This window comes from Homo sapiens, chromosome 2 (genome assembly GCF_000001405.40).
Source record: "Homo sapiens chromosome 2, GRCh38.p14 Primary Assembly".
Lineage (NCBI taxonomy): Eukaryota > Metazoa > Chordata > Mammalia > Primates > Hominidae > Homo > Homo sapiens.
Genome location: NC_000002.12, coordinates 173,790,545 through 173,800,699, shown reverse-complemented (window position 1 = coordinate 173,800,699; position 10,155 = coordinate 173,790,545). Strand labels below are relative to the sequence as shown.

Sequence of the window (10,155 nt, the reverse complement as noted above, 5' to 3'; positions counted from 1 at the left end):
GCTGCTGCCATGACTTTATCTGGAATGTTAGAATTTTTATTAAGCAATTATTAAATAACATTTAATTAGAGACCAGTTATAAAATGTGCTTCCCCAGAGTAAAAACTGAGGTTTGGGCTTCACTTCTGTCACTGAGACTAAGGGAGGGTGGAGGCTACAATACTCATGTCGGGAATCTGTAGTTTTTCTCAAGCTTAGCTTCTGAGAAATTTGCAGACCTGTAAGAGATAAAAACCAGCGACTTTTCTAAGTATGATCGCTCACTTTTCCATTTCCATCTTTCAAATAGTCTAATGCTTCCCGGGACAAATAGACTTTACTATGAAAATATGTTCTTTTAAGATGCAATTGGAAGACAGATTTCACGTATCCTCGTTTATGAATGCATTGTCAACGAATTATGTTTATCTATTCAACTTGTGTAAATAAAAGCCAAATAAGGCTCAGAAATAGGTTTCTCAGCAATTTGACTTTCTGAGGCAGAGAGTCTAATAGGAGCTTGTGGATATATTCTCCTTAGTTAAAAATGGGGTGATCTGAGGAAACTTTGGGGGTGATGAATATGTTCATTATCTTGGCTGTAATGGTGGTTTCATGGGTATATACATATCTTACATTTTATTAAATTATACTTTTAAAATAAGTGCAGTTTATTCTATGTCACTTATACCTCAAGAAAGCCATGAAACTAATAAAGACAAAAATGGAATCAACCTATGTATCCAGTTTATGAAACTTGTTAAACAAGCTGGCTTTATTATTCCTGTATTACGAAAAGCTCACCCCGAAATGGCTAAAAAAGAATCTATTAGAAAACTGTAGCTCACTTTGAATAAACCTTACTATCATGTAGGGATAAATATAACAGAACTTGAGATCTGGACAAAATTTTGTTGAAATTGAGGAAATGCAAGGGGAAATAGATAGATGTGTGCCTCTAGGTTGAAGGCCTGATTTCAAGCAAATTTGGTTTCTGGCTGCTACTGATTGACACCTGACCTTGTAAAACTGCATGAAATCAGAATTAAGCAGAGATGCTACAAAATCAGCACTAGGTTCATGGAGTTATGGAAAAGGGAGGGATATAGAAGATCATCTTCCTTATTTCCCTGGCCTCTGAGAAGGTGTATATCTTTTGTGGCAGAACGTTCTGTTTATATTTTCGTCCTCAGGCTAAATATTCCACTGAGCGCTTCTCTATTGATGAAAAGCATTGGCATACACAAAAAATTAGTTGATGGAGCGGGTTTTCTACTGTGAAAAGCAAGATCTGTGAATAGACAGCGTTCTGTGACACACAAACACACTTTCCTTTGCAAGTGGCTAACCCAAGGCAAGGGCATCTTATTTCCAGGGATGAGAAATACCAACAAAAATATAAGTGATAAATTTTCTAATATGTGTGCTAGGCTGTTAGTAATTATTTATCTTGATATAACTATCTTATAACTATCTTACATTCCTTTGGATAGAGACCTTTTGGTTCTACTCCTCAATCTCAGAAAAGGAGATCTATCTGAATTTGGAGAAAGGGAAAAAAAGAATAAATATTTCTTGTGTGCCTTTTCTAGGTGATCTCCTGATTTTAGTACATTTTAAGTCACAAAGAAGACACCACAGTAACCATCAGAACCCAAGCCATACTTAACCATTTTGTGATGACAAAATGAAATAACTCATCCTTTTTATACTCAGACTAACACAAGATGAGCTGCCACTGTCCTCCTTTCCAGAAGGGAATCCCCCTCAAAGTGTCCTCTCAGTTATCACTGTGAATTGCCAGGAACCTAGGCCCCTGAAAACCATAGAGTGTCCCTGGGAACCAGTCCCTTTATTCATCTTTCTGTGTAGGCTTCTTATCCTGAAGGCTAGGCATGCCACTGGTGGCACGACAGCCACTCTGATGGGCCCATGTCCAGCACCCAGCTACTCCAGCCCTGGGGAGGGCCTCCTGCCCTCCCTCATTCCACTGAGTACCTCAGGTTGGGCCATGGTTTTTGGCTCTTTCTCTGAAGGCTTGGGGTAACAGAAAACAAAGTGGGTCCCAGCTGACCCTAGAATGCGCCACTCTGAAAGCTCACAAGCCAAAATCTTCCTTCATAATCCTCACAGGTTTCCCAATGGCAGGAACAACTCAACCCCTTCGGCCAACGGGCACTCCCAGGGACTTAGAACTAGAGTCCAGTGAACTTGCAGTCCCAGGGAGGACCTGTGCTCCCCTCCTCCAATATCCATCCGTTCATTTCCTGCCTCTGGGTGACAGACAGTGGTGATGGATCTGATCCATTCCCTTCAGGGGGGATCTCCAGTGGCCCAGATACAGTTCACCGTACAGTTCCCTAAATTCAGCTTGTTCAGCCTTGGATAACACCCTGTGACGGACACCATTCATCCAGTCCAGGGCGGGTCAGTACCAAGGCTAGCCCAGGGGATTCACTGTGTCCCCAGAGTCAGGGGAACAGGGGATCTGGCTCGCAAACCCCTGATAGTTCAGCCTCAATCTCAACTTCCCATAAGAACATGACTAGACACAAAAGACATAATATGTCCCAGGCTCTAGGCAGTCTAAACCTGGGTATAGGAGGATAGCCCCACTGAGATTCCATAGAAGAGTACTGCTACAAAGCCCAGCTGACACTGTGAATAGGATACTCAACCTCTCAGTCTGAAGTCTGGGTTTTTCGCTTTCTAGTCTACCTCAGAGTCTTCCTGAGAACAATGGGCCTACTTATGCATCATATATGCATGACTAAAGACTCATTAAAATGGTCCCTCCAGCTTGCCGCTCACAAAAAAGCAAGTTATTACCTTAAAATAAGTAAGGTTGGGTTGCGCTTAGATTATGGCCACTTAATTAGTACCTCATAATGGGGGCTGCTTTGACTCCAGTAAAAACCTGAAGGGTGCATGCCAGTTGGAAGTGATTCTGAAGATGCAGCCTGCAGTCTGAGCCTGCCCTCACAGAGGGAATCTGTGTCAGATTATTTCTCTCTCTCTCTCTCTCTGTTTTTTATTTTCTTCAAATTTGGGATTATTTATACTCTTCAATATATTTAAGAAGAGAAAATATGTACAAAAAAGATAAACTGAAAACATCAAGAGAAGCCATTCCTGTGGAAACAAAGCGTGATAGTTTCATCACCCTGAGTTGGCTTTGGAAGCCGATGAGCTAGCCTGCAATTTCCAATTGTTGTATTTGCCTAGGAATGTGATTTTGAAGGGCAGGGGAAAACATCTGAAGGAAGTGAAGAGAGCTTAGGTTGGGGCAGTGATCAGAAATCATGATGGGATGGCTTTTGCTTGCCTGGATTTGTGACTGGATACAGCAAATTTGTATGTCTAAAGAATTAATTATCACATTTGGCAAGCATTTTTTTTTCTATGTTGAAGCACAGAGTCCCAGAGATATCAAACAAATGTGTTTTCAGGGATAAGAAAGAATATTTTGATTCCTCTAGGAGAAGACCTTTCTGTACCTTCAGCATCCTGGAAAAGGGAAGTGGTTAGAATCAGTGGTATAGGAATAAGAACCTACTGAAATGGAAGAGTGAGAGATCCTCGAAGAATATGAATTTGCCAAGGACATTCTTCTTCTAGCATTTACCACCATTCATCAAAGACTTTTATAATCACTCATGGATACAGAATAGGTTTAGAAAACATTTCAGACTTTTGATTCTAAGTTAAATGCAGTCCCAAAGTCATTAGAGCCATTGAGAATCTTAGAATGTCCACAGGATTTCCAGAAATGGAAGAATATTGCAACTTTGCAAACTCACTGTATTGTATAAAATCCCCCCTGTTTCAGCTTATCTGGAAAACTCCCTGAAAAGGAAAAGTTATGATGGGAGTGTAACCATCCAACAGGTTCACCTTGCCCACTGCCTAGACAGAGTCAATTTATCAAGACTGGGGAATTGCAATAGAGAAAGAGTAATTGATGCAGAACCACCTGTGTGGGAGACTGGAGTTTTATTATTACTCAAATCAGTTACCCTTAGCATCCAGGGATCAGAGTTTTTAAGGATAATTTGGTAGGTAGAGGACAGTGAATCTGGAGTGTTGATCTGTTGGGTGGGAGATGAAATCATAAGGATTCAAAGCTGTCTTCTTGCACCAAGTCAGTTCCTGGGCGGGGGCCATAAGATCAGATGAGCCAGTTTATCGATCTGTGTAGTGCTAGCCGATCCATCAAGTGCACAGTCTGCAAAATCTCTCAAGCACGGATCTTAGGTTTTATAATAGTGACGTTATCTCCAGGAGCAATTTGGGGAGGGTTGGAATCTTGTAGCCTCCAGCTGCATGACTCCTAAACCATAATTTCTAATCTTTTGGCTAATTTGTTAGTCCTACAAAGGCAGTTTAGTCCCCAGGCAAGAAGGGGGTTTGTTTTGGGAAAGGGCTATTGTCACTTTGTTTTAAACTATCAACTAAGTTCCTCCCAAAGTGAATTTGGCTTATGTCCAAAAATGAACAAGGAGAGCTTGGTGGTTAGAAGCAAGATGGAGTTGGTTAAGTCAGATCTGTTACACTGTCTCAGATATTTATTTTGCAATGGTGGTTTCAGGAGTTTGATATCTGAGTTCATTTTTACATTTTAAATGCATGTTTATAAAATCATTTGTGTATGTAAACATTTATTTTAAAGTGTTTGTGTTTCTTTGTTTGATCACTCTGATATTTTTATTATTCAAAGGCATTTGGGGAATACAACCCCAATTTTTAACATTGTATGTATAGGACATAAGGCTCTAAATTATCTGTGCATTTTAGAGTTTACATAGCACCAAGCTTTTTAACAGATATGATCTCATTTAAACCTCAGGACAGGTCTGGAGGAAGGTATTTTTTCCAGGTAAAGAGGAAACCAGGCCTAGTAATTTGCCTACAGTCACCCAGCTGGTTAAAGGCTGAGCATGAATATTTAAATATAGGTTTGTCTGGCTCCCAAATCTGTGCTCTTTCCCTGCCAAGAAAGCTGCTTTCTAGGACTTACATGGTTAAAAAAAAATTCTTCCTGACTTTCAGCTCAAGTGACTATCCTAATAACACACACACCCATACCCCGGCCTCTTGCACACACAGTCTAACTCTCAGGCCTTGAAGATTTTCCCTGATTTAAATCTTGATTATTTAATTTGAATTATTTGGGAATCACAAAGTGCTTCAAGGTTTTTCTAATTAGAAAACATTCCTAGGGAGCAAAGTAACATGGAAAACAAAACAATGCGCTTTAGAGAAAGATTAACGTATAAATAGGAGATGGTAAAATCAAAGCCTGATAATCATTAAATTAAGCATTGAATTCCACCAGTACCTCCTAAATACCCACTGTGTGCCAGGTCTAATGTTTGTTGGAAAGCAGGTTTCTAAAGTGCCTTAGATCCTCTTTCAATCTTTAAAACTTGGCAGAATGAAAACAAGACGCCCCCAGAAAGAAAGATAGAAAAAGAGAGAATAGACTTCTAGTTGCTATAAAAATTATTGCTCTCCTACACCAGGAATTTTGGATTGAAAACTAAAGTTCAAAATGGGCTTAACTGAAAGGATTTTGGGCTTTCCATGATTTAGCTAGACCCCCAATTTTTCCAAAATAATTCAATGTCTCTCCTCTTTTCCTCCTTATTTTTGCCTTTTGAAAACTTGAGATTCAATGCCTTATAAAAGTATTTATATGTCTGAACATTGAACATGAGTAAAAATACATTTAATAAGAAGAAAGTAATCTTAGACAGGTTCATGCACTGGAGCTTGCTTCCTAATCTGATTTTTTTTTTTTTTTTTTTTTTTTTTGAGACAGGGTCTCACTCTGTCACCCAGGCTGGAGTGCAGTGGCGCTGTCGGCTCACTGCAACCTCCACCTCCTGGGTTCAAGCAATTCTCGTGCCTCAGCCTCCTGAGTAGCTAGGATTACAGGCGAGTGCCACCATGCCCAGCTATTTTTTGTATTTTTAGTAGAGATGGGGTTTTGCCATGTTAGCCAGGTTGGTCTTGAACTCCTGACCTCAGGTGATCTGTCCACCTTGGCCTCCCAAAGTGCTGGGGTTATGGGCGTGAACCACCATGCCTAGCCCTGATTTTTGTTCCAAAGTCTGATTTTCTTGTACAAACAAACGAAAACATGGCATGCTGTTGTATCAAATTTAACTTATTTAACTTTCATTAATTAAATTTTGTAAATTTGCTTTGCATAATGAGTTCAGCTCCGTTACTAATGAGAAAGGTGGAAGAGGACTTTGGCAAAGCCAAGATATGTGTGTGTGTGTGTGTGTGTGTGTGTGAGCTCACATGGGTGTGACTGTGACTGTGTGGGTGACGTTGTCCTGTTTAATTAAAGAATGGAGGCGGGGTTTTGCAGGGAGCCCTGTTGGTAAACAATGCCTGTTTGCAGGCTACTCAGGAACGACCTGGGAAGTGGAAGGATCTGAAAATGTTGTGCATGAAGTGGCCCGTTGGCTGTCCAATGAAGTGTCTGTTATCAGAAGGAAATGTGTACTTTTTGAGGTGAGATCGGTTCTGTGCTCTGAACCGAATGATTTTTCATTTTTTGTTCTGATAACAAGCTGGTTGTAAGCTTCACTGAACTGATAAATTGTAAACTCTTAGAAAAGGCTGTCTAAAGATAACAATTCAATGTTTCTTGGTAATGTATCCTGGATGAATCTGATAATTTAAAGCCCACTTCACCAAAATGGGAGTGGTGCTTGCGTCCTCTTTATCTTCAATTATGTCTAATCTGTTTCTAATTCAAACACTGTGCTGCTGTTGTCAGATCAAATATAGATTTTAAATGTTTTATGCTTCTCCGCTGGGAAGGTTTAAAATGTATGCAGGCTGTCTGTCAGGACTGTGCCAGTTGAATCTAATAAAGTTTTAGATAAATTCAAAGGAAATAAAAGAGTACTTAAAAATGAAATGATTCACGGTTCATGAGATGGAACATGCTTAATGAACGGCAGGCAGTTCGGGAAAAGTTATGGTAGAGTCTCTATGGATCACCTGCCTAACCTTTACAGAGCTCTCCTTGAATAAATATATTGTGTCTTCCAGCTTTACAGGCAGGAGTTCAGAAACCAATTTAAAAATCAAGTCATCTTTGGGCTTGTTTCAAACAGGGCCTCATAAGCCTATGGGCGCAGGGACTATAATCCATGGTTTTTCATTCCACATGATGACACTTCCATCACTGAGAGCAGATTGGAAAACATAGTTGCAGTTTTCAGTCACTGAATAGGATGCAGTTGTTATCGTTATTAGAATTCTTTTTTTCTGCTCATCTATGTAGATGTGCTCCAGGTATGTGTGTGCTCTGGAATATCAAAGCAAAAACATATTCGGAGATAATATCGGGCATTGTTAGACCTGGGACCTGAGGGACTGGTGTCAAGGTTATATTCGTAGGAATACTATCTTGGTAAAATTTCTGAGATCTCTTGGGTTTATGAAGTTAGGGAAAGCATGGAAGAAATGTTTTATTAGAGTACAGACCATATTTATATTTCTGTATTACAAAATTGCTATTTCATAGTCAGGAGTTAAGTTAAACTGGGGCTTAAGGTGAAGGCGTTGGTGCAATTTATCACCACGGAGATTTTTCTTGGGTTTGCTTCTAATCCCTTTAGGACTGCAGACCTAAGGGGATGCTTTGGGCGTCTCTCCTGGTTTGGTTTTGGAAGGATTGTTGGAAGCATCCTTTAAATGTTAACTAGATTTGTGCTTAAAAGGGAAAGGCTTTGAAGTTTTAAAACCATAATCCTCCCAGGTCCCCATTCTCCTTCTTCTCCAAGTTTATCTTAAGAGCAACAGTATTTTTATCTGGGGTAAGACTTCAGCATGATAAAAAAATAGTGGGACTAAGCTGATTCCTGGGCAGAAAAATAGTCAAATTACTGATCTCTTAGCTCACTTTGGCTTGACCCATTTATAAAACTGACACTAAAAATCTAAGAAAAAGTCATTTCCTTTGCTCATGACCCCCACTGCCTCTTCCTTTTCAGTAGCTTAAGGTCAAATTCCTATAAACAAGCAATATTTTTTTTTCATTCAAACTCTGTAGGAATGCAAGAAAATTCTCTCCATTTATTTCTAGTGACATTTCCCTTTAGTTTCTTTCTGGCTGGTTTATATTTTTTCATCCATCTCAAGACGCATAGGGCTGTGCAGTGAGGGAACAATTTTATGTTCTGAAAAGGATGTGTTAGGTTTTCCCACCGGGCATCACTTATGCCTTTGTAACTTGGGTTGCCATTGCCATCCCAAATAGAAGGAGACAGTGAGGATACAGGATGAGGGCGGAGTACCTGCCTATGTGGCATTCAGCGGCTGGCTCCCGGGAGGAGGTTTTGGAATGCTTGAGGCCAGTGGGGACTTTAGAGTCAAGAAATGCCACCTGTGGTTCCCCGTGAGCTTAGGTTATACTATTTCTCCGCAGTCCACCTCTGAACTCCTTTCTCAGTTTTGGCCCCAGCACAAGTTCTGTCTATGCAATAAGAATCAGACTTATTTTCCTTAAGGTCAACCTATCCCTTCTAACTCATTCAGGGTGGATCTGTCTCGTCCCAATTTCTGTTCTTGGAGAGTATCTCGTGTTTCCTTTGAAAATGGAAGTCCTTTTGGTATCACGTAGTCCTTATTTAAAAAGAGAAAAAAGAAAGCCCTGATGAAAATCTTAGCCTCTAATTCTGAAGTTGTCATTTTTGGAAACTTGATGTGGTTGAAGGCTTTCTTTAAAAGCCTAATCATTGTGCAACTATAAGAATGTAAGAGAAAGGGTTAAAATAGTATTGTTTTACTATTTTTCAAGCTTGAGTAAGTTTCTTATTGGAAAGGAAGAGAGAGAAAGAAACAGAGGAAGGTACACCACGGGGCTTCCAGTCTGCTGAGGATCCGCTCCTGCGACACTCTTTGTGCCCAGAAGAAGGGAATGAGGAAGGAAGGAAGTACAAGAATGTCATGGAAATCAAGGGCAAGAGGAGTGAGCCACGTGCGGAAAACATTGCCCAGATGTCAGAAAATGTCACCCTAGCATCTGTAGTCAAAGGAATGTGTTCAGGGAATTGTCAGCCTGCTGACATTAATTGATGCCCCCAAGCACAACAAGGAGGAAATATACGTTACGGTGAGGAATTTTTTTTTTTGACAAAGTACATTATGCACTGATAAGCCATTTACACTTCCCCCCAGACAAGAGTTAATTTGGGGATGTAGGATGCCTGCTTTAGAAATTTAATGAAATGACACTCAAAAAGTAGAAGCATTGCTGTTTCATGGAGAAAAGGCAAAATGTGAGGGAAAGGCTAAATTGGCCAGAAGACTGAGAGGAGAAGACAGAGTTAAAGGGCTGGATAAAGGAATTAATTGTGTTAATGTTTTCCTGCTAAAGGCTGGTGGAACACACACACACACATACACACACACACACACACACTGCAAAAGGATGATGAGTATGTTATTTGTACAAAAATACAGAAAATGATTTTTCAGAATATTAAAAAGATCCTAGTCTACAAGATAATATCCATATTCTTTGGTGTTGCTAAGAAGATATTTTAGAATGTGCAGAAGCAGGTAGATGAGAGAGCTGGAGTCCTAGTTGCTATAAAAGGGGCTGCTTGGCCAGGTGCAGTGGCTCATGCCTGTAATCCCAGTACTTTGGGAGGCCGAGGTGGGTGGATCACTTGAGGTCAGGACTTTGAGATCAGCCTGGCAAACATGGTGAAACCCTGCCTCAACTAAAAATACAAAAAATTAGCCAGGTGTGGTGGTGGGCACCTGTAATCCCAGCTACTTGGGAGGCTGAGGCAGGAGAATTGCTTGAACCCAGGAGGTGGAGGTTGCAGTGAGCCAAGATCAAGGCACTGCACTCCAGCCTGAGCGACAGAGCAAGACTCCATCTCAAAAAAAATAAAAAAATAAAAAAAAAAAGATTAAAAAAAGGTGGGGAGCTGTTTGATGATTGCACAATGGACTAGAGGCTTATGTGCAAAGGGGAAATTTTGATTCAACATCAGTTTCTTGTGTGGTGCTTTTACACACGTCACCCTTAAATCAGCAATTCTCTGATTCTTTGCTTCCAGGGAAAGATCCTGGCCAGTCCTTGGATCAGTAGTTACGCCCTGGGCGTCTGGAATGAATCTAGCACCATGCTGGGGTCAG

At 40.5% G+C, this 10,155-nt stretch overlaps 2 annotated features.

Annotated features, from left to right (window-relative positions):
• Window positions 1,884-2,621: an enhancer, noted in NCBI's record as "OCT4-NANOG-H3K27ac hESC enhancer chr2:174662807-174663544 (GRCh37/hg19 assembly coordinates)". NCBI's record gives its function as "activates a minimal SCP1, AML or CMV promoter by ChIP-STARR-seq in naive H9 embryonic stem cells {active_cell/tissue: H9 hESC(naive)}" and the evidence as "EXISTENCE:reporter gene assay evidence [ECO:0000049][PMID:30033119]".
• Window positions 2,622-3,361: an enhancer, noted in NCBI's record as "OCT4-NANOG-H3K27ac hESC enhancer chr2:174662067-174662806 (GRCh37/hg19 assembly coordinates)". NCBI's record gives its function as "activates a minimal SCP1, AML or CMV promoter by ChIP-STARR-seq in naive H9 embryonic stem cells {active_cell/tissue: H9 hESC(naive)}" and the evidence as "EXISTENCE:reporter gene assay evidence [ECO:0000049][PMID:30033119]".